At 57.3% G+C, this 26,123-nt stretch overlaps 4 protein-coding genes and 3 pseudogenes across 12 annotated transcripts, besides 5 other annotated features; 2 read left to right on the forward strand and 5 right to left on the reverse strand.

Moving 5' to 3' along the window:
• Positions 1,490-2,346, forward strand: LOC100287453 (neurotrophin 4 pseudogene; annotated as a pseudogene).
• Positions 2,603-3,112: an enhancer, noted in NCBI's record as "H3K4me1 hESC enhancer chr19:49546442-49546951 (GRCh37/hg19 assembly coordinates)". NCBI's record gives its function as "activates a minimal SCP1, AML or CMV promoter by ChIP-STARR-seq in naive H9 embryonic stem cells {active_cell/tissue: H9 hESC(naive)}" and the evidence as "EXISTENCE:reporter gene assay evidence [ECO:0000049][PMID:30033119]".
• Positions 3,113-3,621: an enhancer, noted in NCBI's record as "H3K4me1 hESC enhancer chr19:49546952-49547460 (GRCh37/hg19 assembly coordinates)". NCBI's record gives its function as "activates a minimal SCP1, AML or CMV promoter by ChIP-STARR-seq in naive H9 embryonic stem cells {active_cell/tissue: H9 hESC(naive)}" and the evidence as "EXISTENCE:reporter gene assay evidence [ECO:0000049][PMID:30033119]".
• On the forward strand, positions 3,266-4,729 carry CGB5 (chorionic gonadotropin subunit beta 5). The gene is made up of 3 exons (NM_033043.2): positions 3,266-3,642; positions 3,995-4,162; positions 4,398-4,729. Exons 1-3 carry the CDS (start codon positions 3,628-3,630, stop codon positions 4,710-4,712), a joined length of 498 nt encoding a protein of 165 aa, NP_149032.1. The 5' UTR covers positions 3,266-3,627; the 3' UTR covers positions 4,713-4,729.
• A 2,326-nt stretch (positions 4,730-7,055) lies between these two features.
• Positions 7,056-8,529, reverse strand: CGB8 (chorionic gonadotropin subunit beta 8). The gene is made up of 3 exons (NM_033183.3): positions 8,143-8,529; positions 7,623-7,790; positions 7,056-7,387 (listed from the first exon to the last, which is right to left on the reverse strand). The coding sequence occupies exons 1-3, from the start codon at positions 8,155-8,157 to the stop codon at positions 7,073-7,075; spliced, it is 498 nt and encodes a 165-aa protein (NP_149439.1). The 5' UTR covers positions 8,158-8,529; the 3' UTR covers positions 7,056-7,072.
• A 908-nt stretch (positions 8,530-9,437) lies between these two features.
• Positions 9,438-10,291, reverse strand: LOC100287489 (neurotrophin 4 pseudogene; annotated as a pseudogene).
• Positions 13,516-14,066: an enhancer, noted in NCBI's record as "H3K27ac-H3K4me1 hESC enhancer chr19:49557355-49557905 (GRCh37/hg19 assembly coordinates)". NCBI's record gives its function as "activates a minimal SCP1, AML or CMV promoter by ChIP-STARR-seq in naive H9 embryonic stem cells {active_cell/tissue: H9 hESC(naive)}" and the evidence as "EXISTENCE:reporter gene assay evidence [ECO:0000049][PMID:30033119]".
• On the reverse strand, positions 13,692-17,167 carry CGB7 (chorionic gonadotropin subunit beta 7). Of its 2 annotated transcripts, none has more exons than NM_033142.2 (5): positions 17,083-17,167; positions 16,539-16,666; positions 14,779-16,013; positions 14,259-14,426; positions 13,692-14,023 (listed from the first exon to the last, which is right to left on the reverse strand). In NM_033142.2, exons 3-5 carry the CDS (start codon positions 14,791-14,793, stop codon positions 13,709-13,711), a joined length of 498 nt encoding a protein of 165 aa, NP_149133.1. In that variant the 5' UTR covers positions 14,794-16,013; positions 16,539-16,666; positions 17,083-17,167; the 3' UTR covers positions 13,692-13,708. The 2 variants fall into 2 exon arrangements, with proteins under 2 accessions (NP_149133.1, NP_001372190.1); NM_001385261.1 differs by having other exon boundaries at positions 16,880-17,167.
• Positions 14,741-15,594: an enhancer, noted in NCBI's record as "H3K4me1 hESC enhancer chr19:49558580-49559433 (GRCh37/hg19 assembly coordinates)". NCBI's record gives its function as "activates a minimal SCP1, AML or CMV promoter by ChIP-STARR-seq in primed H9 embryonic stem cells {active_cell/tissue: H9 hESC(primed)}" and the evidence as "EXISTENCE:reporter gene assay evidence [ECO:0000049][PMID:30033119]".
• LOC124904739 (uncharacterized) lies at positions 14,835-19,254 on the reverse strand (annotated as a pseudogene).
• Positions 15,595-16,447: an enhancer, noted in NCBI's record as "H3K27ac-H3K4me1 hESC enhancer chr19:49559434-49560286 (GRCh37/hg19 assembly coordinates)". NCBI's record gives its function as "activates a minimal SCP1, AML or CMV promoter by ChIP-STARR-seq in naive H9 embryonic stem cells {active_cell/tissue: H9 hESC(naive)}" and the evidence as "EXISTENCE:reporter gene assay evidence [ECO:0000049][PMID:30033119]".
• Positions 17,702-24,453, reverse strand: NTF4 (neurotrophin 4). Of its 8 annotated transcripts, none has more exons than XR_001753693.1 (3): positions 22,057-22,089; positions 20,582-21,427; positions 17,702-17,764 (listed from the first exon to the last, which is right to left on the reverse strand). XR_001753693.1 is itself a non-coding variant. In NM_001395489.1 (3 exons), the coding sequence occupies exon 3, from the start codon at positions 21,413-21,415 to the stop codon at positions 20,783-20,785; it is 633 nt and encodes a 210-aa protein (NP_001382418.1). In that variant the 5' UTR covers positions 21,416-21,427; positions 23,157-23,280; positions 24,369-24,453; the 3' UTR covers positions 20,546-20,782. The 8 variants fall into 8 exon arrangements, 6 of the variants coding, with proteins under 6 accessions (NP_001382418.1, XP_047294847.1, XP_047294848.1 ...); XR_001753694.1 differs by lacking the exon at positions 17,702-17,764 and adding an exon at positions 20,140-20,227; NM_001395489.1 differs by lacking the exons at positions 17,702-17,764; positions 22,057-22,089 and adding exons at positions 23,157-23,280; positions 24,369-24,453 and having other exon boundaries at positions 20,546-21,427.

A 26,123-nucleotide genomic window follows, 5' to 3' on the forward strand; every position in this document is an offset into this window, starting at 1 on the left:
CCTAGGATTCCAGGTTGTGCACTTTCTCTAAATTGTGGAATGTGGCCAGGCGTGGTGGCTTGAGTCTGTAGTCCCAGCTACTCAGGAGCCACAGCAGGAGGATGGCTTGAGCCCAGGAGTTCAAGTGCAGTGGGGAAACATAGGGAGACCTCGTCTTAAAGCAATTTGTTTGGGGCCAGGCGTGGTTTCTCAGGCCTATAATCCCAGCACTCTGGGAGGCCAGGGCAGGAGTATCACTGGAGGTTGGGAGTTTGAGACCAGTCTGGCCAATGTTGTGAAACTGCATCTCTACTAAAAATACAAAAATTAGCAGGGCACGGTGGCAGGCGCTTGTAATTCCAGTTACTCAGAAGGCTGAGGCAGGAGAGTCACTTGAACCCAGGAGGCAGGCGCTACAGTGCGCCGGGATTGTGCCACTCTACTCCAGCCTGGCCAGACAGAGTGAGGCTCTGTCTCAAAAAAAAAAAAGAAAAAAAAATTGGGCCGGGTGCAGTGGCTCATGCCTGTAATCCCAGCACTTTGGGAGGCCGAGGAAGGCAGATCACAGGGTCAGGAGATCAAGACCATCCTGGCTAACATGGGGAAACCCCGTCTCTACTAAAAAATACAAGAAATTAGCCAGGCATGGTGGCGGGCGCCTGTAGTCCCAGCTACTCGGGAGGCTGAGGCAGGAGAGTGGTGTGAACCTGGGAGGCGGAGCTTGCAGTGAGCCGAGATTGAGCCACTGCAGTCCAGCCTGGGTGACAAGTGAGACTCCCCCTGAAAAAAAAAAAAATTGATTGGAACATCCTCCAGGATGCAAGACTCTCGGTTCCTTAGAGTTCTACAGGAAGGATGGCAGAGTGCAGTCGCCCAGAGGTGAAGTCCCATCTCTGCCATTTGTTGGCTGTGTGACCGGGCACAAATCATTACTTTCTCTGATCCTGTATTTTACCATCTGTTGCTATTGAGTAATAGTAGTTGACTATTATGTATTTTTATTTATTTTTATTTTTATTTTTATTTTTGTTTGAGACAGAGTCTGGCCCTGTCACCCAGGCTGGAGTGCAGTGGTGCGCTCTTGGCTCACTGCATCTCTGCTTCCGGGGTTCAAGCGATTCTCCTGCCTCAGCCTCCTGAGTAGCTGGGAGTACAGGTGCCCACCACCACACCCAGCTAATTTTTGTATTTTTTTTAGTAGAGACAGGGATTCACCATGTTGGCCAGGCTGGTCTCAAAGTCCTGACCTCAAGTCATCCACCCGCCTCAGCCTCCCAAAGTGCTGGGATTACAGGTGTGGGCCATAATGCCTGACCTGTAGTTGTTGAATATTTACTATTAATCTACAAGTTGGGTGTTATGCAAGTCCTATATATGGAGTCCCCCAAACTTCTAGAGCAAGGGCTTCCCCATAATCCTGGCAGGCAGGCCTCCCCTGGGGTTCCCAACTTCTGACCCCACTGAAGTGTTTATCCTCTTCTCTAATCCCAGCCTCCTTTTCCCTGTCTCCATGTGCTCTGAGAGGTGCTCTGAGAGATGCTCCCGCTCCCCCAGACTCCCTCTACATCCCCCTCATTTTCTTCCTCTCCAGTGTGTCAATGGGGTCCTAACCCCACCCTCGACATTGTCGCCTTTTCCTGATCCAAAGTGGGACCTTCTTTTCCCCTGAGTGGTCCTGCCTAGGGGTGCCGCTGCCGGGCCCCCTCTGGTCTTCCTGCTGGAGACTGGGGCCTTTCGGGAGTCAGCAGGCGCCCGGGCCAACCGCAGCCAGCGAGGGGTGAGCAATACTTCACTGGCGAGTCATCAGGGTGAGGCTGGCCGTGTGTGATGCAGTCACTGGCTGGGTGACAGACCCCCGGACCGCTGTGGACTCAGGTGTGCTGGAGGTGGAGGTGTTGGGCGAGGTGCCTGCAGCTGGCGGCAGTTCCCTCTGCCAACACTTCTTTGTCACCTGCTTCGAGGCCAATAACTCTGAAGAAGGTGGCCCAGGGGTAGGTGGAGGGGCTGCCGCAGGGTGTGGACCGGGGGGCACTGGGTGTCTGAGTGCAAGGCCAAGCAGTCCTATGTGCGGGCATTGACCGCTGATGCCCAGGGCTGTGTGGACTGGTGATGGATTCAAATTGGCACTGCCTGTGTCTGCACACTCCTCAGCCGGACTGGCCGGGCCTGAGACTTATACCCAGGAACTGGTCAGGCAGAAAAAGAACAGAGCTGGATGCTGAGAGACCTCAGGGTTGGCCCAGCTGCTCTACGGACCCCAGTTTGGGAACTCATCAAATCATCACAAAATCACAACTCTCTGAATTTGAGCTCAATCTCTGCAGGATGGGTGCCACCACATGGGGTTTTGAAGGTTGAATAGGAGTTCTCCTGGGGGAACTTGAGGATAATCATGATGATGATGATAATAATAATAGGCACTATTTACTGAGTGTTTACTCTTTCTTAGCCATAATACATAACTCCTCGGATCAACTCTCATGGATTTGATCATTGGTGACCTTTGGTGTTAAGTTGCTGACTGCTCAGTCACAGAGGACACCACCTTCCTCATCCTGGGGAGTGGGAGGGCACATTTCACGATGTGCATGGGGGAGGAGAGAAACTGGAACATGCAAGCAGATGGCCAGGGGACCTTGAGAACATGGTCTACAGAAGGCCTTTCAGTATCTGGGAGCTGGGGTTCAAATGAGAAATCTTACTTGGTGAGAGTGGGCAGGGGTCGGCTTAGAATATTTTGTTTTGAGATAATGAGCTACCGATCACAGGGGGAGTTTAAGCAAGGTTCAATGAGAAGCGATCAAGATGCTGCACAGTTCAGCCCTGGGTGGGGAGCTCAAGTCAGGTTTCTAGCCCTCTTCCCTGTGCCAACCTATACCCTACATTGGGAAAGAAACAGACCTTAAAATTGTCCAGCTTGATGGCATCGCGGGGAAGGGACTAAGTCCAGATAATGTCCTCTGAGGCTTCGGCCCCGTGGGCAGGACACACCTCCTGCGGGCCTATTCAATAATCAGTTAAATCACCTGAAGCACACGCATTTCCGGGGACCGCTCCGGGCATCCTGGCTTGAGGGTAGAGTGGGCGGAGGTTCCTAAGGGAGAGGTGGGGCTCGGGCTGAATCCCTCGTTGGGGGGCATCTGGGTCAAGTGGCTTCCCTGGCAGCACAGTCACGGGGAGGCCCTCTCTCATTGGGCAGAAGCTAAGTCCGAAGCCGCGCCCCTCCTGGGAGGTTGGACTGTGGTGCAGGAAAGCCTCAAGTAGAGGAGGGTTGAGGCTTCAATCCAGCACTTTGCTCGGGTCACGGCCTCCTCCTGGCTCCCAGGACCCCACCATAGGCAGAGGCAGGCCTTCCTACACCCTACTCCCTGTGCCTCCAGGCTCGACTAGTCCCTAGCACTCGACGACTGAGTCTCTGAGATCACTTCACCGTGGTCTCCGCCTCACCCTTGGCGCTGGACCAGTGAGAGGAGAGGGCTGGGGCGCTCCGCTGAGCCACTCCTGCGCCCCCCTGGCCTTGTCTACCTCTTGCCCCCCGAAGGGTTAGTGTCGAGCTCACCCCAGCATCCTACAACCTCCTGGTGGCCTTGCCGCCCCCACAACCCCGAGGTATAAAGCCAGGTACACGAGGCAGGGGACGCACCAAGGATGGAGATGTTCCAGGTAAGACTGCAGGGCCCCTGGGCACCTTCCACCTCCTTCCAGGCAATCACTGGCATGAGAAGGGGCAGACCAGTGTGAGCTGTGGAAGGAGGCCTCTTTCTGGAGGAGCGTGACCCCCAGTAAGCTTCAGGTGGGGCAGTTCCTAAGGGTGGGGATCTGAAATTTTGGGGCATCTCAGGTCCTCTGGGCTGTGGGGTGGGCTCTGAAAGGCAGGTGTCCGGGTGGTGGGTCCTGAATAGGAGATGCCGGGAAGGGTCTCTGGGTCTTTGTGGGTGGTGTACCACGCGGGATGGGAAGGCCAGGACTCGGGGCTGCGGTCTCAGACCCGGGTGAAGCAGTGTCCTTGTCCCAGGGGCTGCTGCTGTTGCTGCTGCTGAGCATGGGCGGGACATGGGCATCCAAGGAGCCGCTTCGGCCACGGTGCCGCCCCATCAATGCCACCCTGGCTGTGGAGAAGGAGGGCTGCCCCGTGTGCATCACCGTCAACACCACCATCTGTGCCGGCTACTGCCCCACCATGGTGAGCTGCCCGGGGCCCGGGCAGGTGCTGCCACCTCAGGGCCAGACCCACAGAGGCAGCGGGGGAGGAAGGGTGGTCTGCCTCTCTGGTCAGGGGCTGCGGAATGGGGTGTGGGAGGGCAGGAACAGAGGGCTTCCCGGACCCCTGAGTCTGAGACCTGTGGGGGCAACTGGGGAGCTCAGCTGAGGCGCTGGCCCCAGGCACATGCTCATTCCCCCACTCACACGGCTTCCAGACCCGCGTGCTGCAGGGGGTCCTGCCGGCCCTGCCTCAGGTGGTGTGCAACTACCGCGATGTGCGCTTCGAGTCCATCCGGCTCCCTGGCTGCCCGCGCGGCGTGAACCCCGTGGTCTCCTACGCCGTGGCTCTCAGCTGTCAATGTGCACTCTGCCGCCGCAGCACCACTGACTGCGGGGGTCCCAAGGACCACCCCTTGACCTGTGATGACCCCCGCTTCCAGGACTCCTCTTCCTCAAAGGCCCCTCCCCCCAGCCTTCCAAGTCCATCCCGACTCCCGGGGCCCTCGGACACCCCGATCCTCCCACAATAAAGGCTTCTCAATCCGCACTCTGGAGGTGTCTTTCTGTGGGCTCAGGGCAATCACACACACACAGGATGGGTCCAGCTTCCAAACCATTTTATACAGAGTCACAGTACAGAACTCTGGTAGAAAACAGGGTGGACGGCTAGGCGCGGTGGCTCACGCCTGTAATTGTCGGAGGCTGTGGTGGGTGGATCAGCTGAGGTGAGGGGTTCCAGACCAGCCTGACCAACATGGAGAAACCCCATCTCTACTAAAAATAGAAAACATCGTCGAGCGTGGTGGTGCATGCCTATACTCCCAGGTACTTGGGAGGCTAAGGCAGGAGAATCTCTTGATCCTAGGAGGCGGAGGTTGCAGTGAGCCAAGATCCCGCCATTGCACTTCAGCCTGGGCAACAAAAACAAAGCTCCATCTCAAAAAGTAATAATAATAATAATAATAAAATAAAAATTAAAAACGTTCGTCCAGGCGCAGTGGCTCATGCCTGCAATCCCAGCACTTTGGGAGGCTGAGGCGGGTGCATCACCTGAGTTCAGGACTTTGAGACCAGCCTGGCCAACATGGTGAAACCCTGTCTCTACTAAAAAAAAAAAAAAATTAGCTGGGTGTGGTGGTGCGCGCCTGTAGTTCCAGCTACTCAGGAAGCTGAGGAAGGAGAATGACTTGAACCCCGGAAGCATAGGTGCAGTGAGCTGAGATCACGCCACTGCACTCCAGCCTGGGTGACAGGGTGAGACTCCGTCTCAAAAAAAATAAATAAATAAAATAAAATAAAAATAAAAATAGAAAATAGTCCACTACTATTACTCAATAGCAACAGATGGTAAAATACAGGCTCAGAGAAATTAATGATTTGTGCCTGGTCACACAGCCAACAAATGGCAGAGATGGGACTTCAACTCTGGGCAACTGCACTCTGCCATCCTTCCTGTAGAACTCTGAGGAACTGAGAGTCTTGCATCTTGGAGGATGTTCCAATCAATTTTTTTTTTTTTGAGACGGAGTCTCGCTCTGTTGTTGAGACTGGACTGCAGTGGCGCGATCTCGGCTCACTGCAAGATCCGCCTCCCAGGTTCCTGCCATTCTCCTGCCTCGGCCTCCCAAGTAGCTGGGACTACAGGCGCCCACCAGGACGCCTCGCTAATTTGTTGTATTTTTTAGTAGAGACGGGGTTTCCCCGTGTTAGCCAGGATAGTCTTGATCTCCTGACTTTGTGATCCGCCCGTCTCGGCTTCCCAAAGTGCTGGGATTACAGGCATGAACCACTGCGCCAGGCCCAATTTTGTTTGTTTTGTTTTGTTTTGTTGTTTTTGGAAAGGGTGGCATGGAGAAGACTGGGAAACAACCAGTGGTCACCAGAGCTGTAGCACCTCCTTCACCTCTGAGCTCTGCTGGGAACCCCAGGCTTCGGGGGCCACTGTGGAGGACACAGGTGGCCCCCTCTTTCCTGACATCGCAGGAGAGGGAGCAGCAACCGGTTAGGGGAAGAAAAGCACAGGAAGGTTATACAGCCAGGTGGGGAAGAGGCCAACTCCCTGAAAAAACCCCTTCCCAGAGTTCCTCTTCAAGCGCAGGGTACCCAAGAGTCAAGGCCCCGCCCCCTTTCCAGAGGCCCCTTTTCTACTTAGGTGATGGCTCCTGGCTGGGATGGGAGGTAGATGGACCGGGGGTGGGAGGGGTGGAGGAGGGGAAGGGAGAGGCAGTGGATGAAGGAGAATGGAAGAGATGACATCCCCCTTGGCCCATTCATCCCATTCAGATCCCCAAGCCCCCACCTGGACTGCCAGTGCCAACCTCAGAGGGTGGAAGAGGGAGCTCGGCTTAGAATGCTGAGGCCCTGCTCCCTGGGCCACACCAATCGTGTGGCCTTCCTTCTCCCCACGGAAGGCCAGACCATGGACACCTCCTGAGCTGGATGTCATCCCCCATCTCCACCCTCTTTTCTTTTTCTTTCTTTCTTTCTTTTTTTTTTTTTTTTGAGATGGAGTCTCGCTCTGTCGTGCAGGCTGGAGTGCAGTGGCGCGATCTCTGCTCACTGCAACCTCCCGCTCCCAGGTTCACTGCATTCTCCTGCAAGCGCCCACCACCAAGCCCGGATAACTTTTCGTATTTTTAGTAGAGACGGGGTTTCACCGTGTTAGCCAGGATGGTCTCGATCTCCTGACCTCATGATCCGCCTGCCTCGGCCTCCCAAAGTGGTGGGATTACAGGCGTGAGCCACCACGCCCAGCCGTCCACCCTGTTTTCTACCAGAGTTCTGTACTGTGACTCTGTATAAAATGGTTTGGAAGCTGGACCCATCCTGTGTGTGTGTGGTTGCCCTGAGCCCACAGAAAGACACCTCCAGAGTGCGGATTGAGAAGCCTTTATTGTGGGAGGATCGGGGTGTCCGAGGGCCCCGGGAGTCGGGATGGACTTGGAAGGCTGGGGGGAGGGGCCTTTGAGGAAGAGGAGTCCTGGAAGCGGGGGTCATCACAGGTCAAGGGGTGGTCCTTGGGACCCCCGCAGTCAGTGGTGCTGCGGCGGCAGAGTGCACATTGACAGCTGAGAGCCACGGCGTAGGAGACCACGGGGTTCACGCCGCGCGGGCAGCCAGGGAGCCGGATGGACTCGAAGCGCACATCGCGGTAGTTGCACACCACCTGAGGCAGGGCCGGCAGGACCCCCTGCAGCACGCGGGTCTGGAAGCCGTGTGAGTGGGAGAATGAGCATGTGCCTGGGGCCAGCGCCTCAGCTGAGCTCCCCAGCTGCCCCCACAGGTCTCAGACTCAGGGGTCCGGGAAGCCCTCTGTTCCTGCCCTCCCACACCCCATTCCGCAGCCCCTGACCAGAGAGGCAGACCACCCTTCCTCCCCCGCTGCCTCTGTGGGTCTGGCCCTGAGGTGGCAGCACCTGCCCCGGCCCCGGGCAGCTCACCATGGTGGGGCAGTAGCCGGCACAGATGGTGGTGTTGACGGTGATGCACACGGGGCAGCCCTCCTTCTCCACAGCCAGGGTGGCATTGATGGGGCGGCACCGTGGCCGAAGCGGCTCCTTGGATGCCCATGTCCCGCCCATGCTCAGCAGCAGCAACAGCAGCAGCCCCTGGGACAAGGACACTGCTTCACCCGGGTCTGAGACCGCAGCCCCGAGTCCTGGCCTTCCCATCCCACGTGGTACACCACCCACAAAGACCCAGAGACCCTTCCCGGCATCTCCTATTCAGGACCCACCACCCGGACACCTGCCTTTCAGAGCCCACCCCACAGCCCAGAGGACCTGAGATACCCCAACATTTCAGATCCCCACCTTCAGGAAATGCCCCACCTGAAGCTTACTGGGGGTCACGCTCCTCCAGAAAGAGGCCTCCTTCCACAGCTCACACTGGTCTGCCCCTTCTCATGCCAGTGATTGCCTGGAAGGAGGTGGAAGGTGCCCAGGGGCCCTGCAGTCTTACCTGGAACATCTCCATCCTTGGTGTGTCCCCTGCCTCGTGTACCTGGCTTTAAACCTCGGGGTTGTGGGGGCGGCAAGGCCACCAGGAGGTTGTAGGATGCTGGAGTGAGCTCGACACTAACCCTTCGGGGGGCAAGAGGTAGACAAGGCCAGGGGGGCGCAGGAGTGGCTCAGCGGAGCGCCCCAGCCCTCTCCTCTCACTGGTCCAGCGCCAAGGGTGAGGCGGAGACCACGGTGAAGTGACCTCAGAGACTCAGTCGTCGAGTGCTAGGGACTAGTCGAGCCTGGAGGCACAGGGAGTAGGGTGTAGGAAGGCCTGCCTCTGCCTATGGTGGGGTCCTGGGAGCCAGGAGGAGGCCGTGACCCGAGAAAGGTGCTGGACTGAAGCCTCAACCCTCCTCTACTTGAGGCTTTCCTGCACCACAGTCCAACCTCCCAGGAGGGGCGCGGCTTCGGACTTAGCTTCTGCCCAATGAGAGAGGGTCTCCCCGTGACTGTGCTGCCAGGGAAGCCACTTGACCCTGGTGCCCCCAAGGAGGGATTCAGCCCGAGCCCCACCTCTCCCTTAGGGACCTCCGCCCACTCTACCCTCAAGCCAGGATGCCCGGAGCTGTCCCCGGAAATGCGTGTGCTTCAGGTGATTTAACTGATTATTGAATAGGCCCGCAGGAGGTATGTCCTGCCCACGGGGCCGAAGCCTCGGAGGACATTATCTGGACTTAGTCCCTTCCCCGCGATGCCATCAAGCTGGACAATTTTAAGGTCTGTTTCTTTCCCAATGTAGGGTATAGGTTGGCACAGCAAAGAGGGCTAGAAACCTGACTTGCGCTCCCCACCCAGGGCTGAACTGTGCAGCATCTTGATCGCTTCTCATTGAACCTTGCTTATACTCCCCCTGTGATCGGTAGCTCATTATCTCAAAACAGAATATTCTAAGCCAACCCCTGCCTGCTCTCACCAAGTAAGATTTCTCATTTGAACCCCAGCTCCCAGATACTTAAAGGCCTTCTGTAGACCATGTCCTCAAGGTCCCCTGGCCATCTGCTTGCATGCTCCAGTTTCTCTCCACCCCCATCCACATCGTGAAATGTGCCCTCCCACTCCCCAGGATGAGCAAGGTGGTGTCCTCTGTGACTGAGCAGTCAGCAACTTAACACCAAAGGTCACCAATGATCAAATCCATGAGAGTTGATCTGAGGAGTTATGTATTAGGGCTACGAAAGAGTAAACACTCAGTAAATAGTGGCTATTATTATCATCATCATCATCATGATTACTCTCAATTTCCCCCTGGAGAACTCCTATTCAACCTTCAAAACCCCACGTGGTGGCACCCATCCTGCAGAGACTGAGCTCAAATTCAGAGAGTTGTGATTTTGTGATGATTTGATGAGTTCCCAAACTGGGGTCCGTAGAGCAGCTGGGCCAACCCTGAGGTCTCTCAGCATCCAGCTCTGTTCTTTTTCTGCCTGACCAGTTCCTGGGTATAAGTCTCAGGCCCGGCCAGTCCGGCTGAGGAGTGTGCAGACACAGGCAGTGCCAATTTGAATCCATCGCCAGTCCACACGGCCCTGGGCATCAGCGGTCAATGCCCGCACATAGGACTGCTTGGCCTTGCACTCAGACACCCAGTGCCCCCCGGTCCACACCCTGGCGGCAGCCCCCTCCACCTACCCCACGGCTACCTTCCTCAGAGTTATCGGCCTCGAAGCGGTGACAAAGAAGTGCTGGCAGAGGGAACTGCCGCCAGCTGCAGGCACCTCGCCCAACACCTCCACCTCGAGCACACCCAAGTCCACAGCGGTCCCGGGATCTGTCACCCAGACACTGACTGCATCACACACGGCCAGCCTCACCCTGATGACTCGCCGGTGAAGCATCGCTCGCCTCACGCTGGCTGCGGTTGGCCCGGGCGCCTGCTGACTCCCAAAAGGCCCCAGTCTGCAGCAGGAAGACCAGAGGGGGCCCGGCAGCGGCACCCCTAGACAGGACCACTCAGGGGAAAAGAAGGTCCTACTTTGGATCAGGAAAAGGTGACAGTGCCGAGGGTGGGGTTAGGACCCCATTGACACACTGGGGAGGAAGAAAATGAGGGGGATGCAGAGGGAGCCTGGGGGAGCGGGAGCATCTCTCAGAGCACCTCTCAGCACACGGAGACAGGGAAAAGGAGGCTGGGATTAGAGAAGAGGATAAACACTTCAGTGGGGTCAGAAGTTGGAAACCCCAGGGGAGGCCTGCCTGCCAGGATTATGGGGAAGCCCTTGCTCTAGAAGTTTGGGGGACTCCATATAAAGGACTTGCATCACACCCAACTTGTAGATTAATAATAAATATTCAACAACTACAGGTCAGGCACTATGGCTCACACCTGTAGTCCCAGCACTTTGGGAGGCTGAGGCGGGTGGATGACTTGAGGTCAGGAGTTCGAGAGCAGCCTGGCCAACACTGTGAAACAACATCTCTACTGATAATACCAAAATTAGCCAGGCCTGGTGCTGCACGCCTGTGATCTCAGCTACTCGGGAGGCTGAGGCAGGAGAATCGCTTGAACCCGGGAGGGCTGAGATTGCAGTGAGCCAAGATCGTGTCACTGCACTTCGGCCTGGACAACACAGTGAGACTCTCTCTCAAAAAAAATAAATAAATAAGGCCGGGCATGGTGGCTCACACTTGTAATCCCAGCATTGTCGGAGGCTGCAGTGGGTGGATCAGCTGAGGTGAGGAGTTCCAGACCAGCCTGACCAACATAGAGAAACCGCACCTCTACTAAAAATACAAAATATCCTCCGGCGTGGTGCTGCATGCTTATAATCCCAGCCACTTGGGAGGCTGAGGCAGGAGAATCGCTTAATCCCAGGAGGCGGAGTTTGAAGTGAGCCAAGATCGCGCCATTGCACTTCAGCTTGGGCAACAAAAACAAAGCTCCATCTTAAAAAAATAATAATAATAATCATAAAATAAAGATAAAAATTGTTCGGCCGGGGACAGTGGCTCTTGCCTGCAATCCCAGCACTATGGGACGCCGAGGCGGGTGCGTCACCTGAGGTCAGGACTTTGGGACTAGCCTGGCCAACGTGGCGAAACGCTGTGTCTACTAAAAAAATTACAAAAATTAGCTGGGTGTGGTGGTGCACACCTGTAGTCCCAGCTACTCGGGAGTCTGAGGCAGGTGAATTGCTTGAACCCGGGAAGCATAGGTGCAGTGAGCCAAGAGCGCGCCACTGCACTCCAGACTGGGTGACAGGGCGAGACTCCGTCTCAAAAAAAAAAAAAAAAAAAAAGATGAAATAAAAATAAAAATAGAAAATAGCCAACTACAATTACTCAATAGCAACAGAGGGTAAAATACAGGCTCAGAGAAATTAATGCTTTTTGCCTGGTCACATAGGCAGCAAATGACAGAGATGGGACTTCACCTCTGGGCAACTGCATTCTGCCATCCTTCCCGTAGAACTCTGAGGAACCGAGAGTCTTGCATCTTGGAGGATGTTCCAACCAATTTTTTTTTTTTTTTTTTGAGATGGAGTCTCACTCTCTCACCCAGACTGGACTGCAGTGGCTCGATCTCGGCTCACTGCAAGCTCTGCCTCCCGGGTTCAAGCCATTCTCCTGCCTTAGCCTCCCGAGTAGCTGGGACTGCAGGGGCCTGCCACCACGTCTGGCTAATTTATTGTATTTTTTAGTAGAGACGGGGTTTCCCCGTGTTAGCCAGGATGGTCTTGATCTGCTGACCTTGTGATCTGCCCACCTCGGCCTCCCAAAGTGCTGGGATAACAGGCATGAGCCACTGCGCCCGGCCCAATTTTTTTTTGTTTGTTTTGTTTTGTTGTTTTTTTTTTTTTTTTTGAAACAGAGTCTCACTCTGTCTGGCCAGGCTGGAGTACAGTGGCACAATCCCGGCTCACTGTAACGCCTGTCTCCTGGTTTCAAGCGATTCTCCTGCCTCAGCCTTCTGAGTAACTGGAATTAAAAGCACCTGCCACCGTGCCCAGCTAATTTTTGTATTTTTAGTAGAGATGCGGTTTCACGACATTGGCCAGACTGTTCTCAAACTCCCAACCTCCAGTGATACTCCTGCCCTGGCCTCCCAGAGTGCTGGGATTATAGGCCTGAGACACCACGCCTGGCCCCAAACAAATTGCTTTAAGACGAGGTCTCCCTATGTTTCCCCACTGCACTTGAACTCCTGGGCTCAAGCCATCCTCCTGCTGTGGCTCCTGAGTAGCTGGGACTACAGACTCAAGCCACCATGCCTGGCCACATTCCACAATTTAGAGAAAGTCCACAACCTGGAATCCTAGGGAGACCCTGATTCACCTCAAAACTGCCACTAAGGAGGTAAAACGCTGCCCCTCTGAGGCAGGCTTCAGTTTCCCTGTGTGTGAAATTGACCTGGCGCTGGGAGAGGCTGGTGGAGGCGCGGATTTTGCAGTTTCCCTACAACATTCTGGAAGCCTGTGGTTCTGGGAAAGGTTGGCGTGGAGAAGACTGGGAAACAACCAGTGGTCACCAGAGCTGTAGCAACTCTTCCACCTCGGAGCTCTGGGGCTGGGAACCCCAGGCTTCGGGGACCACTGTGGAGGACGCAGGTGGCCCCCTCTTTCCTGACATCTCAGGAGAGGGAGGGGTAACCGGCTAGGGGAAGAAAAGCACAGGAAGGTTATACAGCCAGATGGGGAAGGGGCCAAATCCCTGAACAACCCCCTCCCAGAGTTCCTCTTCAAGTGCAGGGTACCCAAGAGTCAAGGCCCCGCCCCCTTTCCAGAGGCCCCTTTTCTACTTAGGTGATGGCTCCTGGCTGGGATGGGAGGCAGATGGACGGAGGGGAGGGGGGAGGAGGGGAAGGGAGAGGCAGTGGATGAAGGAGAATGGAAGAGATGACATCCCCCTCGGCCCCTTCATCCCATTCAAGTCCCCAAGCCGCTCCCCCCCCACACCTGCACTGCCAGTGCCAACGTCAGAGGGAGGAAGACGGAGCTCGGCTTAGGAGGCTGAGGCCCTGCCCCCTGGGCCACACCAATCATGTGGCCTTCCTTCTCCCCACAGAAGGCCAGACCATGGACACCTCCTGAGCTGGATGTCGTCCCCCATCTTCACTCTCTTTTCTTTTTCTTTCTTTCCTTCTTTCTTTCTTTCTTTTTTTTTTTTTTTGAGATGGAGTCTCGCTCCGTCATGCAGGCTGGAGTGCAGTGGTGTGATCTCGGCTCACTGCAAGCTCCCCCTCCCAGGTTCACTCCATTCTCCTGCCACAGCCTCCCAAGTAGCTTGGACTGCAAGCGCCCACCACCAAGCCGGGATAAGTTTTCGTATTTTTAGTAGAGATGGGGTTTCACCGTGTTAGCCAGGATGGTCTCGATCTCCTGACCTCATGATCAGCCTGCCTCGGCCTCCCAAAGTGGTGGGATTACAGGCGTGAGCCACCGCGCCCCGCCGTCCACCCTGTTTTCTACCAGAGTTCTGATACTGTGACTTTGTATAAAATGGTTTGGAAGCTGGACCCACCCTGTGTGTGTGTGGTTGCCCTGAGCCCACAGAAAGACACCGCCAGAGTGCGGATTGAGAAGCCTTTATTGTGGGAGGATCGGGGTGTCTGAGGGCCCCGGGAGTCGGGATGGACTTGGAAGGCTGGGGGGAGGGGCCTTTGAGGAAGAGGAGGCCTGGAAGCGGGGGTCATCACAGGTCAAGGGGTGGTCCTTGGGACCCCCGCAGTCAGTGGTGCTGCGGCGGCAGAGTGCACATTGACAGCTGAGAGCCACGGCGTAGGAGACCACGGGGTTCACGCCGCGCGGGCAGCCAGGGAGCCGGATGGACTCGAAGCGCACATCGCGGTAGTTGCACACCACCTGAGGCAGGGCCGGCAGGACCCCCTGCAGCACGCGGGTCTGGAAGCCGTGTGAGTGGGAGAATGAGCATGTGCCTGGGGCCAGCGCCTCAGCTGAGCTCCCCAGCTGCCCCCACAGGTCTCAGACTCAGGGGTCCAGGAAGCCCTCTGTTCCTGCCCTCCCACACCCCATTCCGCAGCCCCTGACCAGAGAGGCAGACCACCCTTCCTCCCCCGCTGCCTCTGTGGGTCTGGCCCTGAGGTGGCAGCACCTGCCCGGGCCCCGGGCAGCTCACCATGGTGGGGCAGTAGCCGGCACAGATGGTGGTGTTGACGGTGATGCACACGGGGCAGCCCTCCTTCTCCACAGCCAGGGTGGCATTGATGGGGCGGCACCGTGGCCGAAGCATCTCCCTGGATGCCCATGTCCCGCCCATGCTCAGCAGCAGCAACAGCAGCAGCCCCTGGGACAAGGACACTGCTTCACCCGGGCCTGAGACCACAGCCCTGAGCCCTGGCCTTCCCATCCCCCAGGGTACACCACCCACAAAGACCCAGAGACCCTTCCCGGCATCTCCTATTCAGGACCCACCACCCGGACACCTGCCTTTCAGAGCCCACCCCACAGCCCGAGGGACCTGAGATGCCCCAACATTTCAGATCCCCACCCTCAGGAACTGCCCCACGTGAAGCTTATTGGGGGTCACGCTCCTCCAGAAAGAGGCGTCCTTCCACAGCTCACACTGGTCTGCCCCTTCTCATGCCAGTGATGGCCTGGAAGGAGGTGGAAGGTGCCCAGGGGCCCTGCAGTCTTACCTGGAACATCTCCATCCTTGGTGCGTCCCCTGCCTGGTGTACCTGGCTTTATACCTCGGGTTTGTGGGGGCGTCAAGGCCACCAGGAGGTTGTAGGATGCTGGAGTGAGCTGGACACTAACCCTTCGGGGGGCGAGAAGTAGACAAGGCCAGGGAGGCACAGGAGTGGCTCAGCGGAGCACCCCAGTCCTCTCCCCTCAGTGGTCTAGCGCCAAGGATGAGGCGGAGACCACGGTGAAGTGACCTCTGAGACTCAGTCGTCGAGTGCTAGGGACTAGTCGAGGCTGGAGGCACAGAGAGTAGGGTGTAGGAAGGCCTGCCTCTGCCTATGGTGGGGTCTTGGGAACCAGGAGGAGGCCGTGACCCGAGAAAGGTGCTGGACTGAAGCCTCAACCCTCCTCTACTTGAGCCATTCCTGCACCACAGTCCAACCTAACAGGAGGGGCGCGGCTTCGGACTTAGCTTCTGCCCAGTGAGAGAGGGTCTCCCCGTGACTGTGCTGCCAGGGAAGCCACTTGACCCAGATGCCCCCCAACGAGGGATTCAGCCCGAGCCCCACCTCTCCCTTAGGAACCTCCGCCCACCCTACCCTCAAGCCAGGATGCCCGGAGCGGTCCCCGGAAATGCGTGTGCTTCAGGTGATTTAACTGATTATTGAATAGGCCCGCAGGAGGTGTGTCCTGCCCGCGGGGCCGCAGCCTCGGAGGACATTGTCTGGACTTAGTCCCTTCCCCGCGATCCAGCCGCAGCTGAGTGGGCGTGTCTGGGCTAGTCCTGTCCCCACACTGCGGATAGACTTAATGAGTGCGAGCCCACCTAGGTCCGACACCGCGTAGTGAGCGGCTGCCCAGAGCTCTGCTCCGCCCCCACGCCAGGGGGCGTGTCTGGGGTGGGGCTGGCCCGGCAGGCTCCCACTAGCCCCGGCTTACAGCGGCCTGAGCGGGAGTTCTCGGTGCTGTAGGCTTTCGGGACGCTGTGTATGCCCGGCAGGGGCTTCCAGTGGGGGCCACCCCAAGTCGCCTCCAGCGGGCGGAAGCGGTCGAGCCGGCGGAGCGGGTGCGGCGAGGAGCTGTAGGTTTCCTGAGCCGGAGACATGGCCCGCCGTGCGGCGCTCGAGGCGGCCTGGAAGAGCAGAGACAGGGCTGCCGCTGCGGGTCGTGACTCCAGAGTTGGGGCGTCTCTTCTAAGCTCCAGTAGGTCAGGTAGTCCTTGCGGGGGTATCCGGACGGCTCCGTCCTGTGGGAGCAGGGCGGGATGGTGAGGATACAGCTGGATCCTTGGGGACGAGTTTCAGACCTCGGGATCTAAGGAGTCTGCACATTCAAACTCCTGCATTTCCAGGCGAGCACCCCTTAGGAAGGACGCGACCGGGCACGCGTTGCCTGCGTTCCTGGGTCCTCGAGGTACTTAACGTCCTGGAAGCTGAGCTTTCGCATCCTAGGGAAGGAAACGGGGGCTTTCGCTTCCTTGCGAAGGAGCATGTGGGGGCTCAAGTACCGAAGGAGGCCCTGCCCTCAGATCCAGAATCCCCTCGAGCCGCTGTGCAGGCTTCCTGTCCCTACCGCGGTTCCTGGAGGTGACACTAAGGACTCCTGGGTGCTAAAAGAGGGAGGGGCTGGGGTCTGAACTGTGGTTGTTGCTGCTATAGGAGTCGAGACTGAGACCACCGGTCAGGGAATGGGAGCCAGCCCAGGGGCTCGGCGTGCACCGGCCATGGCGGGGGCTGTGCAGGAGGCGGTGCCGAGCGAGAGCCCGGCTTACTTGGGATAGAACCGAAAGTCCCGCGCCGAGGTGGTCAGATAGAGCTGGCGGCGGTTCAGGACGCCCCGGTCGGATACTGTGAAGGGTGGGCCAGACAGCGCGGGGTTCTTCGTGCAGGCGATTAGAGCCTGAGCAAGATTGGGGGAGGAGGCATACCCAAGACATAGATTTCATACCCCATCCCAAGTCCTGGGTCCCGAGTTCAGAATCCCTCTCCTTCGGCCTCGACAGCCATGACGGCCACGGCCCTCACACCCCGCCCCAGGGTCAGAGCCCTTCCTGCCACCCACGCCAGGGAACTTCAGCTTCCTTTCTCATACCCGAACCCTTCCCAGCCTCACCTCCCTAAATCCAAGCCCTCCTGCTGGTCAAGGAACTCAAATGCAGGCCCCCAGCCACCACAAAATCCCCCTGGTTCTGCCCCCGGTCTCAAGCCTTCTTGGTGTGGCCACTGGAGCTGAGCTGCATCTTGGGCAACAACTCCAGGTTACCTCTCCTAACTCCCACCCTACCACGTCTCAGAATATTCTAGTCTCCTCCCCACCCACAGCCCGCCGTCTAGCTCCGCAGCAGCTTAGGAGCCCTGAAGGCGAGTTTCCAGCCCCTGGTCCTTCTGGCCTGGCGTGGATGCCCAGCCCTTCCTCCCGCTCCTCTAACCTCCCGATCCCGCCCCAGATCCTTTAGCCACGCCCCAAAGCTGTGATTTCCTTCTGGCCCCGCCCCAGGCTCCCGGAGCTCCGCTGGTCTCGCCAGCGCCGGCTTCCACCCAGACACCTGGGAAGGCCCCCCGCGGTGGTGGTCCGAGAGTTGTGAGGGGCTGGGGCCCGACGTATTTGGGGGCGCGCGCGTCCGGGCCGGGAGAGCAAGTGTACTGCGCCCTCGTCTCGCTGCTCTGGTACTTTGTGGTCAGTAGGAGGGTTCAGCTGCGGTGTCTGAGCTGCGGAAAGGCAACCCAGAGACTCATGTGAAGGAGCAGGGGACTCAAATGCAGTCCCCCGCAGACTCCGGCGCTCCCCAAATCTTACCTTTTCTCCTGAATCCTTGATCCCCACAGTCCGCGTGGGGTCTGCAGGCTCTGGGGCTCTGGGCTGGGCGCAGGGCCCGCCATGGGTCTTGGGCACGTAGGCCGAGCCAGAGGTTGTCTCCCATCTGCTGAGGACCTCGTCGAAAGCCCAGATGCGAGAATCCTGCTTTGCAGTCGGAGGTAGAGGGTCCGCGACCGTGGACTGGAGAGAAGGCGCCGCACATCAGCTAGAAAGACTCAGGAGTCCCTATCACCCCCCACCCCAAACTCTGACCTCTTCCAGTCGGCCCCCAGCCCTTTCCTCTGCAGTCCCTGGCATCCAAATTCCCTGGCGCCTCCTCTCTCAGACCCAGGACTCCAGGACCCTCCTCCTTCAGAGAGGAGTCCAAGCTCCCAATCCCCTTTTCTCAGCCCCCATCTTTCTGGGTCCCCAGGCCCCGCAGGGCTTCAGCCTAGGGTCTGCCCACCTGCACCGTGGGCGGGGGGAAGGGTACGGGTGGGATAATGCCATGGGTAACGTAGCTGCTGGTGAGATGCCAGTTGGGCCAGGATTCAGGCATCTCGGTTGCAGAGATGAAAGACCACGGGGGGCCACAGCGCACAGCCAGGGTGCCACTGGCCATGGTTCCACCCCCTCCCTGTAGCCAAGCAGGAGCTGGTTTGTTGCTGTTGCCCCAGGTGACAGAACCCGCCCACCCCAATCCAGCCAATGAAAGGCCTGCAGGCACATGGATGGATGGAGTGATTAAGAGACCCAGAGACAGAGAGACAGGGACTCCAAGAGGGGCACAGAGAAACACGGAGTGGGGGATGGAGAGTCAGAAAGAGGCGGACAGAAGGGGATGGAGAAGTTCAGGATTTCAGAGACCCAGGGGGTGGGGGAGACAGAGACACAGAAAGAAGGACAGAGACCTGGGGGTGTCAGAGATACAGACAGAGACCCCTGCACTGCCCCCAGCACCTCAGGACATCCATGAGAAACACCCCCCTTTGCTCCAGGGTCCAGAACCTCCTGGCTGCTTCCTCCCTCTGCCAGGCCTGCCCACCTCGGGGTAACGATTTCCAGATGTCCCCGGGGCTCCCCAACCCTTCCCGCACGTGCTGAAGGAGTCAGCGCTGGTGTCAGCTGTCCTGCCTGCCTTTGATTTGGTTGAAAACTTCCACCTGGGTAGGCTGGGTGGGGAAAGAGAAAGGGATCTAGAGAGAAGTGCACCGGACCATAGCGAAAAAGATGGGCTTTGATGAGTGAGGAATAAATACAACAAGAAAGGGGAGAGACAGGGAGGAAGAAAGAGACCACGATGGAAAGGGAGCTATTAGTACTACCCAGAGGCGACAGACACTGGAAGTTAGAGACAGAGATGAAGGTGGCAAAAACGACCAAAGTCACAGATGGAAAACAAGGAGACGTAGAAACTGAGGCAGCCACGCCCCACCCTGCCCAGGGGCCTGGTCTGTATAGATGCGGGGAGAAGTTGCCTATGTCCTTTGCTCAAAGCTGGACCTGAGAGAGAGAGAGAGAGTTGGTGGGGCGATGGGTAACATGTGAAGGGCTATTGTGAAGGCCTGTGGTCTGTCCCTGGCTTCCCTTGTCACTTCTTCACTATAAACAGCTTTTGATCACCGGGCGCAGTGGCTCATGCCCGTAATCCCAGCACTTTGGGAGGCCGAGGCATGCGGATCACTTGAGGTCAGGAGTTTGAGACCAGCCCGGCCAACATGGCGAAACCCTGTCTCTACCAAAAAATACAAAAAGTAGCCGGGCGTGGTGGCGCACACCTGTAATCCCAACTAAGGCAGAAGAATCACTTCAACCCGGGAGGTGAAGGCTGCAGTGAGCTCAGATCACACCACTGCACTCCAGCCTGGGTGACAGAGCGAGACTCCATCTCAAAAAAAAAAAAAAAAAAAAAAAAAAAAAAAAAGCTTTTGGTCAAGGCCTCTGACTGCTCAACCCCCATTATCTCATCCTACCAGCCCATTCTGCAGACAAGGAAAACTGAGGCTACTTTCTGCAGCCATGCCCAGGATCCCACTTACCCCTCCTCCCCCATTCAGGCTTCTGGGGCCTTTCTGTTGGATTTTGCTGGCCCTACTCAACAGCTCTCAATGGACAGTGACCCCCTGATCCTAGCCAGGGGGCCGATGAGTTAGTCAGAAACTCATGCCCCACTCAAGCTGGACAAAATTTTTTTCTTTTTTTTGAAATGGAGTTTCGCTCTTTTTGCCAAGGCTGGAGTGCAATGGTACAGTCTTGGCTTACTGCAACCTCTGCCTCCTGAGTTCAAGCAATTCTCCTACCTCACCCTTCAGAGTAGCTTGGATTACAGGCATCCGCCACCACGACCAGCTAATTTCTTTATATAATTTTAGTAGAGTCGGGTTTTCACCATGTTGGCCAGGCTAGTCTCGAACTCCTGACCTCAGGTGATTCACCCACCTCGGCCTCCCAAAGTGCTGGGATTACAGGAATGAGCCATCGCACCTGGCCATCAAGCTGGAAAATTTTAAGGTCTGTTTCTTTCCCAATGTAGAGTAAAGGTTGGGACAGGGAAGAGGGCTAGAAACCTGACTTCAGCTCCCTGCCGAGGGCTGAACTCTCCAGCATCCTGATCACTTCTCATTCAACCTTGCTTGTACTCCTCTGTGATCGGTAGCTTATTACCTCAAAACAGAATATTCTAAGTCAACCTTTGCCCCCTCTTACCAAGTAAGATTTCCCATTTGAACCCCATCTCCCAGATACTTAAAGGCCTTCTGTGGGCCACGTTCTCAAGGTCCCCTGGCCATCTGCTTGCCTGTTCTAGTTTCTCTCCTCCTCCACCCACATCGTGAAATGTCCCCTCCCACTCCCCAGCAAGGTGGTGTCCTCTGAGACTGAGTAGTCAGCAACTTAACACCAAGGGCCACCAATGATCAAATCCATGAGAGTTGATCTGAGGAGTTATGTATTAGGGATAAGAAACAGTAAACACTCAGTAAATAGTGGCTATTATTATTATATCATCATCATTATTACCCTCAAGTTGCTCCAGGAGAACTCCTATTCAACCTCCAAAACCCCATGTGGTTTCACCCATCCTGCAGAGATTGAGCTCAAAATCAGAGAATTGTGATTTTGTGATTATTTGATGAGTTCCCAAACTGGGGTCCTTAGATCAGCTGGGCCATCCCTGAGGTCTCTCAGCATCCAGCTCTGTTATTTTCCTGGGCATGGGTCTCAGGCCCGGCCAGTCCGGCTGAGGAGTGTGCAGACGCAGGCAGTGTCAATTCGAATCCATCGCCAGCCCACACGGCCCTGGGCATCAGCGGTCAATGCCCGCACATAGGACTGCTTGGCCTTGCACTCAGATACCCAGTGCCTCCTGTCCACTCCCCGGCAGCCCCCTCCACCTGCCCCCGGGCCACCTTCCTCAGCGTTATCAGCCTTGCAGCGGGTTTCAAAGAAGTACTGGCGGAGGGGACTGCCGCCAGCTGCAGGCACCTCGCCCAACACCTCCACCTCGCGCCCACGCAAGTCCACAGCGGTCCGGCGGTCTGTCACCCAGCCACTGACTGCATCGCACACAGCCAGCTCACCCCGACGACTCGCTGGTGCAGTTTCGCTCACCCCACGCCGGCTGCGGTTGGCCGGGGCACCTGCTGACTCCCGAAAGGCCCCAGCCTCCAGCAGGAAGAGCAGAGGGGGCCCAGCAGGGGCACCCCTAGACAGGACTACTCGGGGGGAGAGAAGGTCCCACTCAGGGGCCAGAAAAGGGGGCAATGTTGAGGGTGGGGGTTGGGACTCAATTGGCACACTGGGGAGGAGGAAAAGGAGGAGGATGGGGAGGGAGCATGAGGGGAGAGGGAGCATCTCTCGGAGCACCTGGAGACAGAAAGAGGGAGGCTGGGATTAGAGAAGGGGGTAAAAACTTCAGTGGGGAAAGAAGTTGGGAACCCCAGGGGAGGCTTGCCTGCCAGGATTGTGGGGAAGCCCTTGTTCTAGAAGTTTGGGGGACCCTATATCTAGGGCTTGCGTAATGCGCAACTTGTAGATTAATAATAAATATTCAACTACTACAGGCCAGGCACTGTGCCCCACACCTCTAATCCCAGCACTCTGGGAGGCTGAGGCAGGTGGATGACTTGAGGTCAGGAGTTCCAGAGCAGCCTGGCCAACATGGTGAAACCTCATCTCTACCAAAAATACCAAAATTAACCGGGCATAGTGCTGCACGCCTGTAATCCCAGCTACTCAGTAGGCTGAGGCAGGAGAATCACTTGAACCCAGGAGGCCGAGGTTGCAGTGAGCAGAGAGTGCACCACTCCCCTGCCACCTGGGCGACAAGAGTGAGACTCTGTCTCAAAAGTAAAAATAAGGCCAGGCATGGTGGCTCACACCTGTAATCCCGGCACTTTGGGAGGCCGAGATGGGCGGCTCACCTGAGGTGAGGAGTTCCAGACCAGCTTGGTCAACATGGTGAAACCCCTTCTCTACTAAAAATACAGAATTACCCGGGTGTGGTGGCGCATGTCTGTAATCCCAGTTACTTGGGAGGCTGAGGCAGGGCAATCACTTGAACCCAGGAGGTGGAGGTTGTGGTGGGCTGAGATTGAACCATTGCACTCCAGCCTGGGCAACAAGAGCGAAACTCCGTCTTAAAAAACAATAATAATAATAAAATAAAAATAAAAATAATTCAACTACTATTACTTAACAGTAACAGATGTTGAAATACAGGCTCAGAGAAGTTAATGATTTGTGCCCGGTCACACAGCCAGCAAATGGCAGAGATGGGACTTCACCTCTGGGCAACTGCACTCTGCCGTCCTTCCTGTGCAACTCTGAGGAACCGACAGTCTTGCATCTTGGAGGATGTTCCAAACAATTTTTTTTTTTTGAGACAGAATCTCACTCTGTTGGCCAGGCTGGAGTACAGTGGCACAATCCTGGCTCACTGCAATGTCTGCCTCCTGGGTTCAAGTGATTCTCCTGCCTCAGCCTTCTGAGTAGGTGGGATTACAAGCACCTGCCACTGTGCCCAGCTAATTTTTGTATTTTTAATAGAGATGGGGTTTCACCATGTTGGCCAGACTGGTCTTGAACTCCCAACCTCAAGCAATAGTCGTGTCCTGGCCTCCCAAAGTGCTGGGATTACAAGCATAAGCCACCATGCCTGGTCCCAAACAAAATTTTTTTTTTTTTTTTTTTGAGATGGAATCTCCCTCTGTCGCCCAGGCTGGAGTGCAGTGGCACGATCTTGGCTCACTGCAAGCTCCGCCTCCCAAGTTCATGGCATTCTCCTGCCTCAGCCTCCTGAGTAGCTGGGACTACAGACTCAAGCCACCACGCCTGGCCACATTCCACAATTTAGAGAAAGGTCACAACCTGGAATCCTAGGGAGACCCCAGTTCACCTCAAAACTGCCACTAAGGAGGTAAAACGCTGCCCCTCTGAGGCAGGCTTCAGTTTCCCTGTGTGTGAAATTGACCTGGCGCTGGGAGAGGCTGGTGGAGGCGCGGATTTTGCAGTTTCCCTACAACATTCTGGAAGCCTGTGGTTCTGGGAAAGGGTGGCGTGGAGAAGACTGGGAAACAGTCAGTAGTTACCAGACCTGTCAGCACCTCCTCCGCCTCGGAGCTCTGGGGCTGGGAGTCCCCAGGCTTCGGGGGGCCCCTGTGGAGGACACAGGTGGCCCCCTCCTTCCTGACATCTCAGGAGAGGGAGGGGGCAACCACCTAGGGGAAGAAAAGAATAGACAGGTTATAGAGGCAGGTGGGGAAGGGGCCAAATCCCTGAACAACCCCTTCCCAGAGTTCCTCTTCAAGTGCAGGGTACCCAAGAGTCAAGGCCCCGCCCCCTTTCCAGAGGCCCCTTTTCTACCCAGGTGATGGCTCCTGGCTGGGATGGGAAGCAGATGGAGGGAGGGGAAGGGAGAATAGGGGAAGGGAGAGGCAGTGGATGAAGGAGGCTGGAAGAGATTACATCCCCCTCGGCCCATTCATCTCCCAGATGGGGCGGAACTGGCCTGGACACCCGGGTCCCTGAGGGCCCACACTCAAGAAGCCCTGGTTCCCCAAGCTGCTTCCTGGAATGTTCCCTCCTCACAGGACAGGCCAGGGCCCGCCCAAGACTTCTGCACATACCTGGAGTGGCTGCCTGCCCTGGCTCCTCGGTACAGGAAAGGGGAAGGGTGGAGAGTGAAAGGAGCCCAGGCTGACCCAACCAGGACCGCCTTCTCCCTCAGACCGAGTAGTGCAGACCCCAGGGCCTCCACCTTCAGACCCAGGAGTTCAGATCCCCAGCGCCCTCCTCCCTCAGACCCAGGAGTAGTCCAGGCCCCCAGCGCCCTCCTCTCTCAGACCCAGAAGTCCAGGCCCCCAGCACCCTTCTCCCTCAGACCCAGGAGGAGTCCAGGCCCAGGCCCCCAGCACCCTTCTCCCTCAGACCCTGGAGTCCAGGTCCCCAGCGCCCTCCTCCTTCAGACCCAGGAGTCCATGCCCCCAGCGCCCTTCTCCCTCAGACCCAGGAATCCAGGCCCCCAGTGCCCTCCTCTCTCAGACCCAGGAGTTCTGGAATTCAGGCCCCTCCTTCTCGGATACTAAGAAATGCAGACTCCGGGTTCCTCATCCTCCAGATTTGGGTTGGGGGTTCCGGACTCCGAGACCCCTCAGGGGAAACCGGCTGCATATCTGGGACACTTCCCTCTTGCCTCAGTTTCCTCCGCCAAGCCCCGCCCCGGTCGGCCCCGCCCCCGTCCCTCCCCACCCGAGGGCAGGGCGACCAGGACGCCGGAATCCCGAGGGAGGAGGAGTGGAGATCTTACCTGGGGCGCCCTCTTCGGCTCCCGCGGCTGCCCTCCGCCCGGCAGCAGCTCCTCCTCCTGCTCGCTGGCTGCAGGGACGCTCGCTGGCCCGCCGGGTGCTAGCTGCTCACGCTCCGCAGGGCCCGGGTCGGGGGCGGGGGCGGGGCGGCGCCGGGCGGCAGAGGAGGGGCCGGGGGATCCTGCCTTGCACTCGCGTGCCGGGACCTTGGAAGCCAGGCCTGGCTCGTTCAACGCGGCCGCCTTGGTCACAGGAGTCCCAGTTTCCAGCTGCCTCCTCCTTTGGACCTAGCAGTCCAGGCCCCCAGCCCCTCCTCCCTTCAGACCCAGGAGTCCAGGCATCCGGCCCCTCCTCCCTCAGACCCAGGACTTGCGACCCCAGCCACCTCTCCCCCCAGCCCCAGGCGCCTGAGTACTAAGCCCACAGTTCCCCCCACCACCTCCCAACCCCGCCCCGTCTCAGACTCAGGAGTCCAGCCCCCAGCCTCCTCCTCCATTAGCCCCAGGAGTCTGGGCCTGAGATTCCTTTGCCGTCTTTTGCCAATTGCGTGTCAATCCCGGGGCAGATTCCCACCCTCTGCTCTCCTCCCCACTTCCCAGGAGCTCCACGCCAGACATTAACCAGCTGGGCTTGGGCAGTGATAAGGCCCCAGGCCCGGGGAGACAGTGGATGTGGGGGCTCCCGCATACTCCTCTCCCCTGGAATTTCCTGGCTGGGGACCGGGGAGAAGGTCTTGTCCTGAGCTCAGATAAGAGACGTGCAAGGTATCATAGGACCAGAGATAGACAGATGTGTCTTAAGAACAATCAGCTACCTTGAGAAATGGTGCGCGGTGACATGAAGGGAGAGATAGGGAGAAGACATGGAAAAGTGGGGAGAGACCAAAAGAAAGAGGGGGACCGAGACTAGAGAGAGTGGGGGAGGGCAGGAGCCCAGAGAGAAGACAGAGGCCCAGAGAGCGTGAGGGCAGACCCCCCCACCCCCCCGAGAAGGGGACAGAGCCCCTGAGAGACCCTGAGAAAGACAGGGATGGGACCGGAGCCGGAGTGTCTCAGGACAGTCATGAGGGCAGCGGGGCTCCTCACCCCACCACACCTCTACCCTGAGACTCCGCTCCCCTCCGCCTGCGCTATTTTCAGAAGGAAAACTGACACCTGCCTCGAGGGTCATCCCACACCCCCTCAGCCTAAATATAGCATGGCAAGGTGGCAGGAGGGTGTCCCCGGTTAGGGTGTTTCCTGCTCCTCACCATCCCAGCCAAGGCAACACACAAGGCCGCTCCAGTTATTTATTGGGGGTGGGGGGAAGGGCCACTTCCCAGGCTTTGGGTGTGCATTCAGGTCACCTCTCCGGCTTCTCCACCCTTCCCCTGTTCCTAAACAGCCAATACATCCTGCCGCATAGCAGGAGGACTCTAGCTTCTAGCTTCTAGCTTCTAGTCCTGGAGGGGATAGTAGGGATGAGGTTTCCAAACAGAGTGACTGGGAAACAGTCTCTGTCCCCCTATCTCCAGGTCTCTGTTCCCCTCCCTCTGGATTTCTGTCTCCCTCCAACTCTGGGTCTGTCCTTCTCTCTCTGAGTCTCTGTCCCCCTCTCTCTCTGGGTCTCTGTCCCTCTCTCTCTGGGTCTCTGTCCCCCTCTCTCTCTGGGTCTCTGTCCCCTTCTGTCTGTGGGTCTCTGTCCCTCTCTCTCTGGGTCTCTGTCCCCCTCTCTCTCTGGGTCTCTGTCCCCTTCACTCTCTGGGTCTCTGTCTCTCT

The sequence above is a fragment of the Homo sapiens genome, chromosome 19 (genome assembly GCF_000001405.40).
Source record: "Homo sapiens chromosome 19, GRCh38.p14 Primary Assembly".
In the NCBI taxonomy this organism is placed as follows: Eukaryota; Metazoa; Chordata; class Mammalia; order Primates; family Hominidae; genus Homo; species Homo sapiens.